Genomic DNA, 23,014 nt, shown 5'->3' on the forward strand with positions numbered 1-23,014 from the left:
GTTTTTTTTTGAGATGGAGTTTCGCTCTTGTTGCCCAGGCTGGAGTGCAGTGGCATGATCTCAGCTCACTGCAACCTGCCACTCCCAGGTTCAAGCGATTCTCCTGCCTCAGCCTCCCGAGTAGCTGGGATTACAGGTGCACGCCACCATGCCTGGCTAATTTTTTGTATTTTTAATAGAGACGGGGTTTCACCATGTTGGCCAGGCTGGTCGCCAACTCCTTTCCTCAGGTGATCCACTCAGCTCGGCCTCCCAAAGTGCTGGGATTACAGGTGTGAGCCACCATGCCCGGCCTAGATACTGAGGATTTTTTAAAATGCATATACAGTTCCTGACCAGTGGTTTTTGCCTAATAAATAACTTATTACAAATTGTTACCCAGTAAAAACCCTGAGACGAGTGAAAAAATAAAGCTAATTAATCCATTACTTGCTAGTAAGAAAATAAAAAAAAAATCTCTGTTCATTTATGTCTTAAGATTTATCAGTATCTCCATATAGCTTTGCATAGTATTACTATTATAGGAGGTGCTTTTTATAAAATGTCAGATGTTAGGCCAGACACAGTGGCTCACACCTGTAATCTTACCACTTTCGGAGGCCAAGGCAGGAGGACTGCTTGAGCCCAGGAGTTCGTGACCAGCCTGGGCAACGTAGGGACACCCTGTCTCTACCAAAAAAAAAACTTTAAATATTAGTAGGCTGGCCAGGCATGGTGGCTCATGCCTGTAATCCTAGCACTTTGGGAGGCCGAGGCGGGTGGATAATGAGGTCAGGAGATCGAGACCAGCCTGGCTAACATGGTGAAACCCCATCTCTACTAAAAATACAAAAATTAGCTGGGTGTGGTGGCAGGTGCCTGTAATCCCAGCTACTCAGGAGGCTGAAGCAGGAGAATCGCTTGAACCCAGGAGGCGGAGATTGCAGTGAGCCGAGATCGCACCACTGCACTCCAGCCTGGTGACACAGCAGGACTCCGTCTCAAAAATAAAAATAAAATAAAATAAAAGAAAATATTAGCAGGTTGTGGTGGTGCACGCCTGTAGTCTCAGCTACTAGGGAGCCTGAGGTGGGAGGATCACTTGAGTCCAGGAAGTTGAGGCATGTGCCACCACGCCCGGCTAATTTTTTGTATTTTTAGTAGAGACAGGGTTTCACCCTGTTAGCCAGGATGGTCTTAATCTCCTGACCTCATGATCCGCCCGCCTCAGCCTCCCAAAGTGCTGGGATTACAGGCGTGAGCCACCGCACCTGGCTTAATATTTCTTAAATGAGTGAATGAGTGAACAAGACAGATTTTCTTATAGTGTAATCAAAATACAAATTCCAGAGCATGGGACTGTATTTCTTAGAGTAGCGTTGCTACATTAACTACTGTAATTACTTTTCGGTAAAAAATTACTTTTGGGTACTTTTGACCTGCATGTTTCTATAATGTTCTATGCAGAAATTAAACTCTTTTGTATAAACAAAAACAGTGTGGGCCTTTTTAGCATTTTTCTTTGAGATTGGAGACTTCAATATAGTGATTATATTTTCATTTCAAGAAATTCTATTTCGCTTTTTTTTCATATCTGGTCATTTAAAGTAATATATTCTTCCAGACTGGACAACATAGTGACACTGTCTCTACAAAATATATATATATATATATATATATATATATTAGCCAGGCATGGTGGCATATGTCTGTAATCCTAGCTACTCAGGAGGCTGAGGTAGGACAATCATTTGAACCTGGGAGGTTGAGGCTGAAGTGAGTGGTGATCACACCACTGTATGCCAGCTTGAGTGACAGAGTGAGACCCTGTCTCAAAAAATAGAACAAAATAATTTTTATTCTGTATCTGATTATTCCATTTTGTAAAGTTCTTACAGGTCTAAATGCTGTTATTTGTTTCTGCTGATTATCACACATAGTAGATTTTTTATTCTTATTTTTTAACTTTTTATTTATTTTGAGACAGAGTTTCACTCTGTCGCCAGGCTGTAGTGCAGTGGCGTGATCTCAGCTCACTGCAACCTCCACCTCCTGGGTTCAAGTGATTCTCCTGCTTCAGCTTCCCAAGTAGCAGGGATTACAGGTATGTGCCACAACGCCTGGCTAATTTTTGTATTTTTAGTAGAGATGGGTTTGCACCATTTTGGCCAGGCTGGTCTCGAATGCCTGACCTCGAGGGATCCACCCACCTTGGCCTCCCAAAGTGCTGGGATTATAGGCATGTGCCACCATGCCGGGTCCATAGTAGCTTTTTTATTCCTGTGTTTTATAATTTTTGATTGAGAGCTCATGTGATCTCTTTGTTATCTTCTAAGTAGATTTTTGACTTGTTCATTCTTTTGCTGAGGAGAAAGCTCTCTGAAGGTTACAGTTTCATACAGAAGTCTCAATTCCCTCTCTGGCTTGTATAGCCCTCAGGTATTGTCTTCTGTCTTGTGTAATCAGTAAAATCCATTGATTTTCAACTCCCTCTTTGTTCTTGGCCCTCTTGCTTTTTTTGTGAGTTTAGCCATTTATTTCAAAAGAGGTATTTATTTATCTAACCTTTCTAAATTTTTAAAAGTTTTTTAAAAAGAATATTTGTGTACCATGTTCTTAGAAACCATTTAGCCTTTTTGTATCAATATTTGGCATCATAAAAATCTATGCTGTGCCAGGTGCAGTAGCTCATGCCTGTAATTCCAGCATTTTTGGAGGCCGAGGCAGATAGATTGCTTGAATCCAGGAGTTCCAGACCAGCCTGGGCAACATGGCGAAACCCCATCTCTACTAAAAAATACAAAAATTAGCTGGGCATGGCGGCAAGCACCTGTAATCCCAGCTACTTGTGGGATTACAGGTGCTGAGGCAGGAGAATGGCTTGAGCCCAGGAGGTTGAGGCTGTGGTGAGCCAAGATTGTGCCACTGCACTCCAGCCTGGGTGTCAGAGCAAGACCCTGTCTCTCAAAAATATGTATATGATATATTTTCCTGGGTAAGTAGGCGATGAAGCTTGAAATTCTATCAATAGCCTGCAGAGATTCAGAACATATGAACAAAACTAATTATAACTCCAGGTCACCATGACTCAGTAAAGTACAATAGTGACATTTTATATGTACTTACTTTTTTTTTTTTTTTTTTTTTTTTTTAGATAGGGTCTTGCTCTGTTACCCAGGCTAAAGTGCAGTGGTGTGACCTCCTGGGCTCAAGCAAGTCTCCCATCTCAGCCTCCTGAGTGGCTGGAACAACAGCCATGCACCACCACACCTGACTACTTTTTTTATGTGTGTGTAGAGACACAGTCTCATATGTTGCCCAGCATTGTCTCTCCTGGGCTCAAGCCATCCCCCTGCCTCAGCCTCCCAAACTGATGGGATTACAGGCATGAGCCACCACACCTGGCCCTTATATATACTTACTTTAAAGGTAACTGGAAATTTAATTGTTGCTTTCATTTCAAATGCTTTACCAGAAATAGTACCATTTAGATCATGAAGGTATGATGTTTATTATAATCGTTCATTTGTTTTTAGTAAAAGTCTTCAGGGTGAAACTTTTGATAGATTATACCTCAAAGCAAAAATTAATGTAGATGTTTCTGTGTAATTTAGGAGGAACCATTTAATTGGAAACCTCTGTGATGATTTGAATTGTTATGCAGTTTAATTGTTAAATTAGAATCTTGAAAGCTATGAAAGAAAAATAAGAGAAAAAGAGAGAAATAAGAGTGGGAAATAGCTAGTCACAATGGAAGGAGTGTGAGACAGACTCAGGTGTAGAAATTGGGTCTTTCCACTTAGCACCCTAGAGGTATATTAGAATTTCCCACTCAATCTGGCTGATTTTACGCAGTGAAACTGGCATTACTGGGGTTTAATTTGAATTGACTAAGGGTACTTGTCCTTATTTCTTCTGAAAGATAAAATTGGAGAGAGGACAACTGGATTCTTGAATTATTTGTCATTTCTAATCTTACCGTTATTTCCTAAAATGACCCACAGATACTCCCTACCCCACTTTTTTTTTCCCCCACTACTGTGCTCTAGCCCTTAAAATGATCTTTGTTTAGCATTCAGATACCTATACTTAGGTTGAGGGAGGAGAAGAGGGCAAAGTGATAATGAAAATGCCTAAACTCCCAGGGAAAAATGAGGGGAAATTTTGACTACAGCCGCTTCACTTCTGTAATGACTGATCAGGGATGCAAAGCAAGATCAAATCTTTTTTTTTTTTTTTTTGAGATGGAGTCTCGCTCTGTCACCCAGGCTGGAGTGCAGTGGTGCGATCTCGGCTCACGGCAAGCTCTGCCTCCCAGGTTCATGACTACAGGTGGCTGCCACCATGCCTGGCTAATTTTTTGTATTTTTAGTAGAGACAGGGTTTCACCATGTTAGCCAGGATGGTCTCCATCTCCTGACCTCGTGATCTGCCCGCCTTGGCCTCCCAAAGTGCTGGGATTACAGGTGTGAGCCACCGCGCCTGGCCTAAAGCAAGATCAAATGTATATAGATTTTTTTTTTTGGTTTTTGAGACACAGTCTTGCTCTGTCACCCAGGCTGGAGTGCAGAGGTGGGATTGCGGCTCACTGCAACCTCCACCTCCTGGGTTCTAGCAGTTCTTGTGCCTCAGCCTCCCGAGTAGTTGGGATTACAGATGTGCACCACCATGCCTGGCTAAGTTTTGTATTTTTAGTAGAGACAGGGTTTCACCATGTTGGCCAGGCTGATCACAAACTCCTGGTCTCATGTGATCTGCCCGCCTTGGCCTCCCAAAATGCTGGGATTACAGGCTTGAGCCACCGTGCCCAGCCCAAATCTATATAGATTGATGGGCTATTTGTTATTGTTAAAATCCTAGGTTCCGGCCGGGCATGGTGGCTCATGCCTGTAATCCCAGCTACTAAAGAGGCTGAGGCAGGAGAATCGCTTGAACCCGGAAGGCGGAGGTTGCGGTGAGCAGAGATGGTGCCACTGCATTCCACCCTGGGTGGCAAGAGCGAAACTCCATCTCAAAAAAAAAAAGGAAAAAAAAAATCCTAGGTTCAAGTTTCAATGTTAGATGTGGAAAAAAGTACGGAACTTGGTCCTTATAAGTACTTAAAATTAGTTTTCTAAATGAAAAATCGGAACAAATCTTCTATTTGTATAGTTCATTCTAGGTATTTTCCTGTTTGCTTACTTGATCTTTAACACTCTTTTGTTGTTAGACATTATTTTCCCCAAGCCCCATAGAGTTGTATGACTTCAAGTTAAAGGGGAGAAAAAAGTTTATGGCTGATGCTTCATAACAAGACAGAGTAACAAGAGAAAAGCTTGCAAATTTATTTAATATTAGTTTTACATGACATGGAAGCCTTCAAAAATGAAGACACAGAGACCCAGGGAAAACTATTTTTTATGCCTAGTTTTGATGAAGAATGGACAGTTATTTAGAAGTATGATTGGACAAAAGTAGGGATATGATCCTATGGTAATAAACTGAGGGTAACTAAGCAAGGCCTGTTTGCTCGGATTCTTCTTGGCCTTTCTCTGTAAGATTCCTTTCCTTTGCATATAGGGCAGGACACCTGTCACTTTGAGGATCTTCTAGAGAGAGATCAGAGACCTTTCTGCTTCTAAGCTTTTCACAGTTTCTTTCAGCTTAAAATACTCAGTATGCCAAGGTGCCGTATTTTGAGGTACAGTGTTCTGTGCCCTGACAAGGTCATTGTTGATGGGACTTTTACTAGAATTGATTTTTATTAATTGTTAATCCCATTTTCTATTTATAGAATGCTGATTACCCTATCAAATTCCCACTAATGAAGAAACACACTGATCACAGTGTAGCCACCAGATAAAGCCATTCAGTTCGTGGTCCCAGTTAACTGAGAAAGGATAAATACCTAGGTCACTATAATACTATATAGAGTCCAGAGCTAGACCTACAGATATTTGGTCAATTGATTCTCAACCAAGATGATTCCACGAGGAAAGGATATATTTCTTTCAAGAAATAGAGTTGGGACAATTAGACATCTGTATGTGTTGAGGGGAGCAGGAGACCTTGAACCACATACGAACATTGACTCAAAATGGATCATAAAACTATAAAACCTCTCCCAGATATTTTCTCCCAGTGTCTGGCTTTTCATTCTTTTAACAGTGTGCTTTGCAGAACAAAATAAGAAAGCAGAAAATGTTTGTGATTTGGAGTTAGGCAAAGAATTCTTAGATATAACACCAAAAACATGATCCATAAAAGAAAAGTAATAAATTAGACTTCATCAAAATTAAAAACTTCTGCTGGAGTTCAAAATGACTGCTGAAAGTTACTACAAGGATAGTAGTTACCTCTAAGGATAAGATTGGAGAATGCAATTGGGAAGGAAGGTGCAGGGGCTTCAAAGATAGTAGTAGTATAATCTTTTTTTTTTTTTTTTTTTTTTTTGACCGAGTCTCACTCTGTCTCCCAAGCTGGAGTGCAGTGGCGCGATCTCGGCTCACTGTAACCTCCGTCTCCTGGGTTCAAGTGATTCTCCTGTCTCGCCTTCCTGAGTAACTGGTACTATAGGTGCATGCCAGCACACCCGGCTGATTTTTTATTTTATTTTATTTTTTATTTTTTTTAGTAGAGATGGGTTTCACCATGTTAGCCAGAATGGTCTCGATCTCCTGACCTCGTGATTCACCCGCCTCGGCCTCCCAAAGTCCTGGGATTACAGGCGTGAGCCACCAGGCCTAGCAGTGGTATTATAATCTTAAGATAGGTGAAAAGATACTAAAGACCTTTTTGGAGAATGAGAATACCACTGTCAATCAATAAATCCAACTATATTAAATAGTTTTGTCTAGAGCTATAATATAGAGGATTTACGAAAACTTTGCTTTGTATAACAAAGGCAGATATTTTATATTCTGGTTCTATTTTTACTTTTTCTGATATTAACTTCAGATTTTTTATTTTGGCTTTTTTTTTGTTTTGTAGAGACAAGGTCTCACTGTGTTTCCCAGGCTGGTCTCAAACTCCTGGGCTCAAGCTATCCTCCTGCCTTGGCCTCTCAAAGTGTTGGGATTACAGGCTTGAGCCACCATGCCTGGTCAACATCAAGTTTTAACATGATGTTAATTCTATGTGTTTTAGGACTTTGTAGAATAAGGAAAGAGGCAAATATGGGAGATTTGAAGATTTTCAGTGAGACAGGCAAAGTAAGTTAACAATCTGATAGGAAATAATGTGACAGAAGGAGAAGTTTTCATTGATTAGGGCCAGGCACTTTATTTGACTTAAAATAATTAGAGCTCAGATAGTATTAGGAGTAGCAACTCAGGTAGGATATTAATTGAAGGGGACAGAATTGATGTGGGTGGTGGGTAGGGCAAGGACTTAAAATTGACCAAAAATACGTAACAATACGTATTTCTGGGGCCTGAAGGACAAACCCTCACTGGTTGTATTTCTTGGCTGGCAGGCTTATAACAAGAAGTTTTCAAGGGAGACTACATGTTAGTTTTTTATTTTGCTTGAAGAGAGAGATCATTTCCAAGTTGACTTTTGTCTTCTCAGTGTAACATTTGGCACTTCTTTTCCTAAAATTATCACTTGTGGCTGAGATACAAGCTGTTGAATTCAGACTATAAGCTAAATTGTTGGCTCTCGATTATTCTTGAGATTGAAAATCTTTCTGGCATCAACAATTTAGATCTATCAAAATGTGTTAATAGCAGTAAATCTTCAACTTAGAGACTTAGAATATACTGCAATATTTCAATTCTGATGCTAACCACTCAAAAGTTAGCATAGACCCCACAAGTTAGAGGCACAGTTCCCAAAAAGACTGCCCTCACTTCAGATGCCTGTTGCAAGTTGGGGTTGGGGGTCCCAGGCCATCTTCATTTCTGACCAACTGGCTATAAATTGGAGGGATCCCTTAAGCCTCCTTCAGGCTCTATAATTAGAACAACTCACAGAACTCAGGAAAGTACTATACATTTGACCCTTGAACAACACGGGTTTGAACTGCACAGGTCCACTTACTAGTGATTTTTTCCCAACAAAAAGTAAATCAGAAATATAGTTGGCTGGGTGCAGTTGCTCACGCTTGTAATCTCAGTACTTTGAGAGGCCGAGGAAAGAGGATCGCTTGAGGTCAGGAGTTTGAGGCCAGCTTGCACAACATAGCGAGACCCTGTCACCAAAAAAAATATTTAAAAATTAGCCAGGCATGGTGATGCTTTCCTGTAATCCCAGTTACTGTGGAGGCTGATCACTTGAGCTCAGGAGTTTGAGGCTTCAGTGAGCTATGATCATGCCACTGCAACCTAGCCTGAATGACAGAGCAAGACCCTGTCTCTAAAAAAAAAAAAAAAACAACTAAAAGATAAAAGAAAAGGAAACAAAGTATTTGCAGGATGTGAAACCCATGTATATGTGTTACCAGAAAGGGCTCCTGATCCAGACCCCAAAAGGGTTCTTGGATCCCACGCAAGAAAGAATTCAGGATGAGTCCATAGAATAAAGTGAAAACAGGTTTATTAAGAAAGTAAAGAAATAGGCCAGGTGCAGTGGCTCACGCCTATAATCCCAGCACTTTGGGAGGCCAAGGCGTGCAGATCAGTTGAGGTCAGGAGTTAAAGACCAGCCTGGCTAACTTGGTGAAACCCTGTCTCTACCAAAAATACAAAAAATTAGCTGGGTGTGGTGGTGCATGCCTGTAGTCCCACCTGCTTGGGAGGCTGAGGCAGGAGAATCACTTGAACCTGGGACATGGAGGTTGCAGTGAGCTGAGATTGTGCCATTGCACTCCAGCCTGGATGATAGAGCAAGACTCCATCTCAAAAAAAGAGAAAGTAAAGGAATAAAAAATGGCGACTACATAGGCAGAGCAGAGGCATGGGCTGCTTATTCTTATTGTTACTTCTTGATTATATGCTAAACAAGGAGTGGATTATTCGTGAGTTTTCCGGGAAAGGGGTGGGCAATTCCTGGAACTGAGGGTTCCTCCCCCTTTTATACCATAGATGGTAATTTCCTGACGTTGCCATGGGATTTGTAAGCTGTAGTGTTGCTGGTGAGAGTGTCTTTTAGTATGCTAATACATTATAATTAGCACATAATAAGCAGTGAGGATGACCAGAGGTCACTTTTATCACCATCTTGGACTTGGAGGGATTTGTCTGGCTTTTTCACCACATGCTGTTTTGTCAGCAAGGTCTTTACGACCTGTATGTCCTGCCAACTTTTTATTTCATCTCTATTTCATCTCGTGACTAACAATGCCTTAACTTCCTAGGAATGCAGCCTGGTAGGTCTCAGCCTTATTTTACCCAGGCCGTATTCAAGATGGAGTCACTCTGGTTCAAATGCCTCTGACATATGGAGGGGCCAGTTCTACTTATGATTACAGTTTAAACTACTGTGTTCCATTCACTGGAAGAAAACTTTTTAAAAAAGAAAAAATAATTATAAAAATAAACTATTATAAATCAAAAATAAAATCCTAAGCCTCCCTCACCCCATGATCGACTGAGCAGACCCTCTTTTGGCCATGGGAACCCCAGAGCCACCTGAAAAACTAAATTCCCAGCCATGATAGGAAGGAAGGTTGAACACACCTCATTATACCCCCTCCCTTTTGGAGTTTAGGCACAACTGATTAGCATTAAGTTTAAAATGGAGATCATAAGACTGACCAAACAGACTCTTTATGGCAGTAAGATACCAAATTATAAATAAGACCTAAGCCCATGCAAGGCAAGTGTTAAGTCACACCCTCAAACTGTAAAAATCTTGTTAAATTGTTTTTTTTTTTAATTAACCCAGTATAATGTGGCTTATTTTCCAGCCTCACTCTAGTATAGTATCACATGACAGGTAGTAGACCCTGAAGAAAATAAAAATATTTTACTACACTATATATATTTATATGTATATATTCTTTTATGAGCCACCTCCCCATGCTGCTGATAGTGACAGGAGGTAGACAAATTCCTAGGCAGACAGGGGCGGGTCCCTGGTGAAACCCAACCTTCAAACCAAAGACAAATTAAAGCCTGAAAACCAAGCTGCCAGTTCTGGGTAAAGTCCCTGACCAGAGTGAGAACTTCCTCGATGCCTTTTAACCAATCAAATGGTGCTGTTCTAGGCCCACCCATGGACCAATCAGCACTCACTCCCCCATTCTGAGCCCATAAAAACCCTGGACTCAGCCACACATTGGGACTACCTGCCTTCAGGTAGGGGTTACCCACTTAAAGTCCCTCTCTGCTGAGAGCTGTTCTGTCACTCAGTAAAACTCTTCTCCACCTTGCTAACCCTCCGGTTGTCCACATAACCTGATTCTTCTTGGACACGGGACAAGAACCTGGGACGTGCCGAAGGGTGGGTATGAAAAGCGCTGTAACATGTTCCTGGCCAGCTCACCAAGCTGCAGGCAGTGACACACTCTTGTCTGCCAGACCACAGGAGTGAAGACTGGCAATGCTTCTGCTCCCTTGGGGCTCCATGTTTGCTGGCATCTCTGAGTTTTCGGGCACCACCGCATTCCCCACATCTAGATGCTGGTGCCCAAGGCAGAAGCTGCTTGAGGCACACCTGGTCCAGCCACACCCTTGTACGGGGCTCATGCCTGTGCCAGAGTCTGGAGCTGTCTGCCCTGCCACAGCAGCCGGTGTGCCTGGCTGTGCACCATGGATGGACCCTGTGCTTACTTGCTCACACACCCCTTGCCACTCCATGTCTGGCTTACTTGTGGTGGGCATGGGATCCAGGCTGATAGTGCTAGCTGAGTGCAGTCCGCCAGGCCGAGTGGGGAAAGCAAGCCCAGTGGTAAGCCCAGCTGGCAAAGTGGCACTGAAAGAATTCTGTGTCACTGCCCTGTGTGGACCGCCACATGGGTTCCCACCCAGCAGCACAGACAGGAAACAGCCCCACAGTATATTTCTTTGACGTATTTTCAGATGGCTGCCACAGTGCTAACCTATTGAAATGGCCCTGCAAAGCCATCTTTTGTGGGGGAAATTTGCATTTGTAGAGAATCTCTGTTAATGCAACTGGGCCTTCCCTTTCTAGGCCTTTCCTGCATCTAGGAGAGATTAATTGAGAGTCTGATGACTTTAAGTTCTAAAAAGAGACATTTACCATCATTCTCTCTGAGGCCTGCTACCCATGAGGCTTTATGTATATAACAAGAACCTTGACCTCCACCATCCTCTAATCTTCACCTAAGCATTCCTTTCTACCAACCTCGTCTTTAGACAGTAGTTTTACTCTTTCAACTAATTGGCAACTAAAGAATTCCTAAAACATACCCATGACTTGTAAGCCCTTACTTCAAGATGTCCTGCCTTTTTGGGCTGAACCAATGTATACCTTACCTGTAATTTCTATTTCCCTAAAATGCTTAAAACCAAACTGTAACCTGACTGCCTTGGGCATACTTTCTCAGGATCTCTTGAGACTGTACCCTGAGCCATGGTCACTCAAATCGGCCCAGAATAAACCTATTTATTTATTTATTTATGAGACAAAATTTCACTTTTGTTGCCCAGGCTGGAGTGCAGTGGTGCGATCTCGGCTCACTGCAACCTCTGCTTCCTGGGTTCAAGTGATTCTCCTGCCTCAGCCTCCGAAGTAGCTGGCATCACAGGTGCCGCCACCATGCTTGGCTAATTTTTGTATTTTTAGTAGAGTCAGGATTTCACCTTGTTGGCCAGGCTGGTCTTTAACCCTGACCTCAGGTGATCCACCCGCCTTGGCCTCCTAAAGTGTTAGGATTAAAGGCATGAGCCACCGTGCTAAGCTAGAATAAACATCTTCAAAATACTTTACAGTTTATTTTTTCTCTTAACACTATACAAACCAGGGCCAGCCAAATGAGGAAACAGGTAGGGTGAAGTCTAGAAGGATTCCACAGAGCTTCCATGCACTCTTCCTTTGGAATCAGGGCACATCACCCTCCCATCACATCAATGTGTTAATTAACCAGGAAGCTCCATTGAGACTCTCATGTCCAAAGATTTTTATTGAGATTTCATTACATAGGCATGATTGATTGAAGGTTGGCCACATGATTGAACTCAGTCTTCAGCTCTCCTCTGTCCCGAGGTTGGGCTAATATTAACTGGCTCAAAGCCCCATCCCTGTAATCACATGGTTGGTCTTTCTGGCTTGGCCCACCCCTCATCCTGAGTTATCTCATTAGCATGAGCTCCCTGGGGGCCCACAATGAATTGCCTCATTAGTTTAAACTACCAGGGCCCACCATGAATAACAAACACACTCGTGGTCACTTGGGAAATTCCAAGGTTTAGATGCCTTCTACCAGGAACTTGGGACAAACCAGTCAAATTCTGTATTATACAACACTCTGAACCCAGGAGGCTAAACAGTATGCAGGGTTTCTGCTTTCTGTGTTTGGGATGGTCTCTGAACAGCAGTGTCTAGTTTGTCTTCTCTATCTTGTCTATTATCATTTTCACAGCACAGGAAAAACAAAAACTAAGTGGTAAAATCATAACTAGGCATTAACTTCCACTCTAACCAAGTCTTTGGAGCTTCTAGCAGGGGAACTATTAATATATTTGCCATTTCTCCTTTCCCTCTTAGCCATTAAGGCATAGATTGCAAGCTGATGGCTTACAAATTTAGGCTGACAGATGTTTCATTTGGTGCACATTTTGTTTGTGTGGTTTTTTTTTTTTTTTTTTTTTTTGAGGCAAAGTCTCGCTCTTGTTGTCCAGGCTGGAGTGCAATGGCGCAATCTCGGCTCACTTCAACTACTGCCTCCCGGGTTCAAGCGATTCTCCTGCCTCAGCCTCCCTAGTAGCTGGAACTACAGGTGCACGCCACCACACCCAGCTAATTTTGTATTTTTAGTAGAGACAGGGTTTCGCCATGTAGACCAGGCTGGTCTCAAACCCCTGACCTCAGGTGATCCACCCACCTCGGCCTCCCAAAGTGCCAGGATTACAGGCATAAGCCACCATGCCTGGCCTGGTGCACATGTTTTTTAAAAATTTCAATTACATGTCAGTGTTCAAAAAAACAGAATTCATATTAATGTGAACTTTCTGACTTCTCTTTAAAAAAAATAAAAACATCACTGGGCCTGTGTTCCTCTATAGCAGTAATTGGCTAAGGTGGAATAGTGGCTCTTCCCTTTTAAAGGCAATTTAGAATGTCTCCAGTTTATCACAGTCGCTACCCCCACTTCCTCACTCCCATCCTGCAACTTGATCTTTAAGGAATCTCTGAGTTTAAGAGTAAAATTTTAAAAGCCCATCTATAATGTATCACCCTCTGGCTAGAGCCTCTTATTTATGCTGTCTCAATTATCTCTGGATATAATCATATGAGGTAAGCATTGTAACTCCTCTTTTGTAGTTGAACAGAATGAAACTGGATTCATGAGTTTCCCAAATGAATTTCCCAAGGCTTCATAATTCATGAGGAACTAGAACTCAAATCCCATTCATAGTTCCGCTACCCTGGCCCTAGACCTCTGGCTCCCACCCCGTTCTGAGAGCTACAACTCACAATTCAGACACTAACAACACATGTTTTAAGTGTGTGGCACAACTTCTTGCTCAGTATAGCAGCTCAATAAATGCTAACTGACATAAAAATTAAGCACATTTCTTGACATCTGATTTGTATGAACCATATGTTGTCACATGGCAATATAATGGTTTGGAAGTCTTAGAGAAAGAGGTTTTCCAGCAGAATTGCAAGAATATCTCAGTCTGAGACCACTCTGTTGTAAGTTCCTAGACCTTTTTCTCTGAATTCTGTAGGGGGAGAACATAATAAAGGGAATGGAAAAGACCTTGCTGTTGCAATATTCCTTTCCCAGTGTCTTAGCCACCCTGGCTGCATTTGGGAGCTTTGCAAAAGGACTCAGCTTCTCTCATTTTCTCTGACTCTGCCTGACTGTGGTACAAAGTCTCATCCTTTCATCCCTTAACAGATCAGTAATTTGTTGAATGCTTACTATGTTCAAAACACTGTGTAGATGCAATAATGAATCAGATTCCTGTTGGAGGAAAAGAGCTGTGATGTACATAATGTTGTCTTTGTTAGGAAAGGATGATTGTCAGACGAGTGGACAGATAAAGTGCTGAGAGGGACCAAGATGAGGCAAGAGGTGGTGAGGTTGGCATCTGAGAGGGATGCATAAAAGAGGATGTCTTTGGCCTAAGCCTTGAAGAATAGGTAGATAGGAGACAACAGAGATGGGAAAGAGGTCAAGTTGAAAGAACAGTAAAAACAGCGGCCGTCTGCAGTGGCTTACGCCTGTAATCCCAACACTTTAGGAGGCCAAAGCGGCTGGATCGCTTGAGCCCTGGAGTTCGAGACCAGCCTTGGCAACATGGTGAAACCCCGTCGCTACTAAAAACACAAAAACTAGCCGGGCATGGTGGTGGGCACCTGTAATCCTAGCTACTCAGGAGGCTGAGGCATGAGAATCATTTGAACCCCGGAGGCGGAGGTTGCAGTGAGCCGAGATCACACCACTGCACTCCAGTCTGGGCAAAAGAGCAAGACTCCATCTCAAAAATAAAGAAAGAGTAGTAAAAACAAAGGAAAGGAAGGAGAAAGCAGGGGCATATACCAAGACAAACAAGTGGCTTGTTGAGTATTTATTAAGAGTATTTAGGTCAGGCACAGTGGCTCCTGCCTGTAATCCCAGCACTTTGGGAGGCCAAGGCGGGAGGATCATTTGAGCCCAAGAGTTTGAGACTAGCCTGAGCAACATGGCGAGACCCTGTCTCCATAAAAAATAAAAAATTAGCCTGGCATCGTGGCTCATGCCTGTGGCCCCAGCTACTTGGGAGGCTGAGGTGGCAAGATCGTTTGAGCCTGGGAGGTTGAGGCTGCAGTGTGCTATGATTGCACCACTGCCCTCCAGCCTGGGTGACCGAGTGAGACCCTGTCTGAAAAAAAATAATTATTAGAAGAGATTGATGTAACTTGGCAGAGTCAAATGGAAAGTGTTCAGTTACTTACTGTAAACAGACTTGCTCTGTTAAATTTGGTTTAAGAGAAGGAAGAAATAGTATTTATTGTTCCAATTTATAATAAAATTACACATTTATTTTGTTAGGTATACTTGTTAGAATTAATATTATAAAAGGAACAAATAGTGAATTTTAAACACAGGGTTAACCACATTAGTTGCCTCCTTCTATTTTGAGAAGTGACTGATGGAAGGGAAAAACACGTCATTTGAAGGTATTTTTATCTCTCAAATTGGGATTTTCTTTTTCTAGAGTCTGCCAACCAAACAGCGTTGACATTGTTACGCATGTCATAGGCAACTTGTATAGCCTCCCACACATCCCTATTATCATACTTTACTTCACATTGTGGACAGGATCTATTTATATTTCTCTCTCTTCTATGGGATTGCAAATTTCAGGACAGGGACCTAATCTTTGTAACAAAAAGAGCCAAACTCTGTAAAATATTTTAAGAGATTTATAAATAAATAAATAAATATATTTATTCTGAGCCAAATGAGAGTGGTCATGGCCCGTGACACAGCTCTCAGAAGGTCCTGAGAACCCAAGGTGGTCGGGGTGCAGCTTGGTTTTATACATTTTAGGGAGACATGAAGCTTCAAGGAAATACATTTCAGAAATACATTGGTTTGGTACAGAAAGATGGGACAACTTGAAGTGGGGTGGGGCTTCCAGCTTATAGGTAGATTTAAAATTCTTCTGTTTGACAATTGGTTGAGTTTATATAAAGACCTGGGATCAACAGAAAGGAATATCTGGGTTAAGATAAAGAATTGTGGGACTGGGCATAGTGGCTCAGGCCTATAATCACAGAACTTTGGGAGGCCGAAGCAGGCGGATCACGAGGTCAGGAGATCGAGACTATCCTGACTAACACGGTGAAACCCTGTCTGTACTAAAAATACAAAAAATTAGCTGGGCGTGGTGGCAGGCACCTGTAGTCCCTGCTACTCGGGAGGCTGAGGCAGGAGAATGGCGTGAACCCAGGAAGCGGAGCTTGCAGTGAGCGGAGATCACACCAATGCAAAAAAAAAAAAAAAAAAAAAAAAAAAGGTGGAGCCGGGCACGGTAGCTCATGCCTGTAATCCCAGCACTTTGGGAGGCCGAGGTGGGTAGATCATGAGGTCAAGAGTTCGAGACCAGCCTGGCCAGCATGGTGAAACTCTGTCTCTATTAAAAATAAAAAAAATTAGCCGGGCATGGTGGCACATGCCTGTAATCCCAGCCACTCGGGAGGCTGAGGCAGGAGAATGGCGTGAACCCAGGAGGTGGAGCTTGCAGTGAGCTGAAATCGCGCCACTGCACTCTAGCCTGGGCTACAGAGCGAGACTCCGTCTCAAAAAAAAAAAAAAAAGAAAAGAAAAAATGGTGGGGCCAGGCACGGTGGCTCATGCTTGTAATCCGAGCACTTTGGGAGGCCGAGGTGGGTGGATCACAAGGTCAGGAGTTTGAGACCAGCGTGGCCAGCATGGTGAAACTCTATCTCTATTAAAAATTAAAAAATAAAATAAAAGTAGCCGGGCATGGTGGCACATGCCTGTAATCCCAGCCACTCGGTAGGCTGAGGCAGGAGAATGGCGTGAACCCGGGAGGCGGAGGTTGCAGTGAGCCAAGATTGCGCCACTGCACTCCAGCCTGGGCAACAGAGTGAGACTCCATCTCAGAAAAAAAAAAAAAAAAGAATTGTGGTGACCAAAGTTTTTATTTGCAGAGGAAGCCTTCAGGTGGTAGGCTTTAGAGAGAATAGGTTGTAAAATGTTTCTTTTCAGGCTTAAAGTCTGTGTTGATGTTAATATCAGAGAGGTATAATGAGGCATGTCTGACCCCCACCTCCCATCATGTCCTAAACCAGTCTTTCACGTTAAATTTTAAAAGTGCCCTTGTTACAGGAAAGGGGTCCCGAACCAGACCCCAAGAGAGGGTTCTCAGATCTTGTGCAAGAAAGAATTCAGGGTGAGTCCACAGCGCAAAGTAAAAGCAGGTTTATTAAGAAAGCAAAGTAGTGAAAGTACAGCTACTCCATAGACACAGTAGGGCGTTCCTGAAAGAGAAGGAAAGCATCCACCCTGGGTACAGTGCTTGTTTATATACAGGATAAAAAGATCATGGGGGGATGTGCTCTGCTACAAGCATTCGTTCTTAATTACTGTATTTTGCAAGAATCAATATTATTATCTTTAAAGCAAAATTAGGAATGCCTTTGCTCTCCATATATTGGGATATTAGGACAGTCCCAAGTCTGGGTCTGTTTAGTAAATATTATCAATCTGTTCCCTTCACCGGAAACATCTAGAGGCTAGATGCTGGGAAGGCAGCCCAGCAAGTCCCAGCCTCATTTTCCTTGCCCTCACTCAAGATGGAGTTGCTCTGGTTTGAACACCTCTGACACCCTGGCTGAGAAGGAAGTCCATTCAGATGGTTGGAGAGGTGTTAGAAGTTTATTTTGGGTTTACATTTTTTGTGTTTTTTTGGGTAGCATAGTTAATGGACATAGTACGTACTTAGAAACAAACCATTTTTCCTTCAGACTTTATTCCTGGAGACATCACTTTAAACAACATCTTTCCAAGCTCAAGGCAAAATTCTCTCTGCTGGTGTCTGTCAGATGTCAACAGAAAAAAAATGGATTGAACTGGAAATTCACTAAGAATTGGTATAATAAGGCTTTTATGTAGCATTTAAATAAATAGGGAGAGGTGGACTGTGAAGCACTGGAAAGTATTATCTCTGAATATAATCTTTCCAAAAGGTCTGGATATAATCTTTCCAAAAGTTAGCACCCAAAGAATTATACTTCCTGGAAAATGTAAATAGTTTTGCACCTCAGATTTCCTCCTGTAGTAATGACTGGCATTCTGTGTGACTTGCTCTTGTACCTACCTATGGTAAGAATCATATAAACAATATGCTTCCGAAGAATGTCCACAAAGAAAACCAGAATGAAGATGAAGACTTGGGCCAGGAGTAGTGGCTCATGCCTGTAATCCCAGTACTTTGGGAGGCTAAGGCAGGAGAATGATTTGAGCCCAAGAGGTTGAGACCAGCTTGGACAACATAGGGAGACCCTGTCTCTACAAAAATAAAAAATAAAAAAAGAGATGAATACTGGCAATGTGCCTGCCTTATTCACTGCCCTGTTCCTAGTACCCAGTAGAGTTGGCTGAAAATAAGTATACTTTGAGTAAGTGGATAACATTATCTGTTCTGTATACTTGGTGTTTGTTCGTTGGTGCCTGAGATGTACATTTGGGCCATGTTGTGGTCAGGGGAGAAATCACTGGGGGAGTTGTTGAATGTAATTGACTTCCAGCAGAGAAACAGGAGTTCATAGTCCCAATTCTCTTTAAACAGTCACTAAATGGGATAAAGAACTCTCAAGTAAATTTTATTTGTCAAGCTCCTTTTCAAAAATTACAAAAGACTGCTACTGATAAAACTACTGAAAAATACAAAAATATACAAAACTTAAATAAGAGATCCCCATTTCTACCAATATTAGTATTCTTTGACATCATTTCTCCTGCAAATACAAACATAATCATACTTATGGAGTTCTGGATGATAGTTGGAATTTTTTTTTTTTTTTTTACCAAAATTGGCTATATTATATATATTACTCAGGCAAGTTGCTTTACTGAATAGATCATGGCCAACTCTCTGGCTCAACAGATACAAATATAACATTGTTTCTTTTTTAATAGCTGCATAATACTTATTCCATATTCTGGGGAAGGTTCTGTTAATGACATTTAAGATGTTTCTACTTTGTTGTTTTTATTGGTGTTTTTGCTACTACAAACCAGAAAAAAAAAATTCTATATGTATATATACCCTTAGATACTGGTGCTTTTGTTTTTTGATTTTAGGATTAGGATTTCTGTTGCAAAAGGTATACATGCATTAATTTTAATAGCTACTGCTGGATCACTTTTCAGAAGGTTGTAATAGTTCACACTTCTGCCAGCAACATATCAGATTTTTCCTTTGTCTACATCTCTACCATCCCTGAATGTTACCCTCTAGTTTTTCTCAATCTAGATTTTTTTTTTTTTTTTGAGACAGAGTCTCACTGTGTTGCCCAGGCTGGAGTGCAATGGCGTGATCTCGGCTCACTGCAACCTCCGCCTCCCGGGTTCAAGCAATTCTCCTGCCTCAGCCTCCCAAATAGCTAGGATTACAGGAATGTGCCACCACACCCGGCTAATTTTGTATTTTTAGTAGAGACGGGGTTTCTCCATGTTGTCAGGTTGGTCTTGAACTCCCGACCTCAGGTGATCTGCCTGCCTCAGCCTCCCAAAGTGCTGGGATTACAGGTGTGAGCCACCGTGCCTGGCCCAATCTAGATTTTTTTTTTAAATGATATCCCTTGTTGCTTTACTCTACATTTCCTTGTCCACCAGTGAGGTTGAGTCTGTTGTCATGTCTACTAGCTATCTAGATTTCCTCTTAGTAATTGCCTGTGCACATCCTGTACCTCCTTTTTCTCTCGGATGATTTATGATTTCCTTATCGATTTATAAAAGCTTTTTGAATTACAGGAATTTAAAATCTATTATGTATTGTAGTTGATTGCTTTTTTTACTTTGTTAATGATTTTTTTCTTCAGAAAAAATTTCAATTTGTATATATTCAAATATGTCAATCTTATGCTTTTATTTGAGGTTTCCTGCTTTTTTTAGATCTCTAAAACCATTCTGTTTTGGGTTTTTATGTTTGTTTTGGCATTAACATTAAATTTGTAACCTACTAGGAATTTGTACAGAGTGTAAGTCGGGAATCTAATTTCCCTTTTTTGGTAGTTAGAAAATGTCATTGAAATATATATACTACATTTATCGTTGGACCACAGAATTAACCTTGTATCCATTAGTTTGACATTTATCACTGGATGGAGGGTTAGGAATTAGATATAGGACCTCTCTCACCTGAAAAGTGACCAAATTACAAAAGCTTGTATACATTTCTGATTTGTGATGCTGAATTTTTTATGTCTCTGTGATGCTGAACAACAGAACATAGACTTTTTCCAGTTCTAAATGCATACATACTTTGCTGATACCTGAACCAGAATCTCGTAAATGTTCTCATACTGCATTATTTCTGTATCCTTTTAATCTCTGTTAATTTGAAGCAGGGAGACCTTAGAACACTCAAGTGGTAATCCTGGCACTAGCAGGAAGTAGGAGCTGCTGGAGGACCTGGAGCCAGGTTGTCCCCCACACCTCTGTCTTTCCCTTAGATGACGCACCCCATGGTCTGTGGGCAGTGACTAGCTCTCCCAGCGACGTTGGAAGCTTTCATTTCTTCACTTTCTATTCCTGTCCAGCTTTGTAACCAAAACAGTTTTAAAATTTTAGGCTGTCTTGGCCGGGTGCGGTGGCTCACACCTGTAATCCCAGCACTTTGGGAGGCCGAGGCAGGCGGATCACAAGGTCAGGAGTTCAAGACCAGCCTGACCAACATGGTGAAACATCGTCTCTACTAAAAATACAAAAATTAGCTGAGCGTGGTGGCACGTGCCTGTAGTCCCAGCTACTCAGGAGGCTGAGGCAGAAGAATTTTTTTGTTTTGATTTTGAACATAGATTGGTTGGTTTTAAGCTTTAGCTTTTTAAATAGGTAACATATATGCACATGTAAAAAAATCAACAATTAGAAAACCATATACAGTAAAAAAACAAGTTTCCTTCCCTTCCTTGATATCAGCTATCCAATTCCCCTTTTTAGCATCTCTCATTTTTAGGAGACATCTTTGTTAAATTTGGCCAGGCACAGTGGCTCACACCTGTTATTCCAGCACTTTGAGAGGCTGAGGCAGGAAAATGGCTTGAGCCCAGGAGTTTGAGACCAGCCTGGGCAACATACTGAGACCCCATCTCTACAAAAAATTTAAAAATTAGCTAGGTGTGCTGGCACATGCCAGTAGTCCCATCTACTCGACATAATGCCTAACGTGGGAGGTTTGCTTGAGCCTAGGAGGTTGAGTTTGCAGTGAGCCATGATTGTGCCACTGTGCTGCAGCCTGGGTGACAGAATAAGACCCTGTCTCAATTGAGAAAAAAAAAAAAGTCCTGGATAATAAATATTTCAGGCTTTGTGTGCCACATTGCCTCTGCCACAGCTATGCAACTTTGCCATTGTAGCCTGAAAGCAGCCACAGATTACGTGAAAATGAATGAGCCTCTCTATATTCTGATAAAGCTTTAATGAAGAAGAAGATAGGAGCAAGCCAGACTTGCCCATGGGCTGAAGTTTGCCACGCACTTCTGATCTAGAATAGTCCTGCTCATTTACAGTAGTCTTTTCTCTCTGTCTCTCTCTTTCTCTCTCTCTGTCTCTCTCGAAGTGTCTAAGTCAGTGTTCTTATAGAATGCCTTACTTCCTACTTATTCATTTTGTCATTCAACTTTTTTTGTTCCTCTGTTTCCTGTAAGATGAAAGGTAAGTCTAGAGATCTCATTAGATTCACATTAAACATTTTTGGCAAGAATTGTTTGTAGGTGAATTTTTTAACAAGTTTTGCCCAAGGGGCAGAAGGAGAGATTTTTAGAGGATAGAGATTTATGGATGATACTCAAGTGTATAGTATAAGGGATCCAACATCTGAGAAAGGTGTGACCAAAACAAAGGGAGTGACAGAAAATATTCTTAGTTCCTAGAGACTAGAAGAATTTTAGTTTTCATGGAGCAGTGCCTGTCTGTTGACCACTCATCAATGAACACATTGCACTCAGAGTACTCAGTCTGATTGGCTACTGAAATTCTGGCTTCTAAAAAATTTAACTAAACATCTTTCTGTTTTCTCCTAAATAAAGCAATTCTTAAAACTCTGGTTCCTGGGTTGTTTTTGTATTGTTTTGTTTTTCTTCATAGGGTCAGCTCTAAACACAACTTCCATTGATAAGTCAGGGGAGCACATGGCTTACACAATGACTTCTCAATTCATTATTAAATACAGTTGACCTTTGAGCAACAAAGGGGTTAAGGGACACCAACTCCCCCACGCCCAGCATAGTCAAAAATCTACATATAATTTTGACTTCTCAAAAACTTAACTACTAATAGCCAGAAGTAGTTAAGTTCTAACCAGAAGCCTTACATAACAGTTGATTAACACATATCTTTTATGTATTATGTATTATATACTATATTATAATAAAGTGAGTTAAAGAAAATGTTATTAAGAAGATCATAAGGAAGATAAAATATATTTACTATTCATTAACTAGAAGTAGATCCTCATAAAGCTCTTCATCCTTATCCTTTACACTGAGGAGGAAGAAGCGTTGATCTTGCTGTTGTAGGGGTGGCAGAGGGGGAAGAAAATTTGCGTGTAAATGGACCCATGCAGTTCACACTCATATTGTTCAAGGGTCAACTGTATTCTGTTTTATGATTTCTGAAAAAGGCTCATTTGGTCTTTTTTTGTAATGAGGTAAAAATATGTCACCATCAGTTGCTTTCTGAATGGTTTTTTGTTCTCTACATGGGGACTATTATTTTTATAACATGTCTAGTCTTAGTAGTATTCTTTTAAATGCTCTACATAGGCTCCATCACTGTTATAACTGGCCTACATCTAGATTAAACAAGCTGAGACTTACATTTAAAGGGTTGTTTTTTTGGTATCCTTTTCCAAGCACAGACTTTAGGGAAACCTAAGTAGGAAAAATGACATCAGAATAATTCCACTAGTCACCTGCCAGAACACAAAAGAAAAAGGAATAAGTCTACTGGTCATTGGTAATTAGGGCCTTTCATCTGTGCAGTTAAAAGAGCTATAAAAACATTATCTCATAATTCTCACATGGCCCTCTGAAGTGAGCAGGCAAATAACTATAACCCTAATTATAGAAGTAGTTTGTGGTCTTTAAAGAGGTTAGAATCTCTTTCACATAGAGTTAAAATCAAAGGTGGGGACGAATTTTAAAAACTGTTTCTGAATCTTTCTAACTCTCTTAAGTCCACAGTTGCTGTTTTAGAACTATAAGGATTGTTACAGTTTGAATTTTTTTTTTTTTTGAGACGGAGCCT

At 41.4% G+C, this 23,014-nt stretch overlaps 1 protein-coding gene across 6 annotated transcripts in view, besides 1 other annotated feature; it reads left to right on the plus strand.

Annotated features, from left to right (window-relative positions):
- Positions 1 to 23,014, plus strand: part of COMMD1 (copper metabolism domain containing 1) — a 247,668-nt gene that overhangs the window by 173,843 nt on the left and 50,811 nt on the right. The window lies entirely within an intron of this gene.
- Positions 3,775 to 3,994: an enhancer, noted in NCBI's record as "active region_15845". NCBI's record gives its function as "activates an Ori minimal core promoter by ATAC-STARR-seq in GM12878 lymphoblastoid cells {active_cell/tissue: GM12878}" and the evidence as "EXISTENCE:reporter gene assay evidence [ECO:0000049][PMID:35858748]".

Source organism: Homo sapiens, chromosome 2, assembly GCF_000001405.40.
Source record: "Homo sapiens chromosome 2, GRCh38.p14 Primary Assembly".
In the NCBI taxonomy this organism is placed as follows: domain Eukaryota; kingdom Metazoa; phylum Chordata; class Mammalia; order Primates; family Hominidae; genus Homo; species Homo sapiens.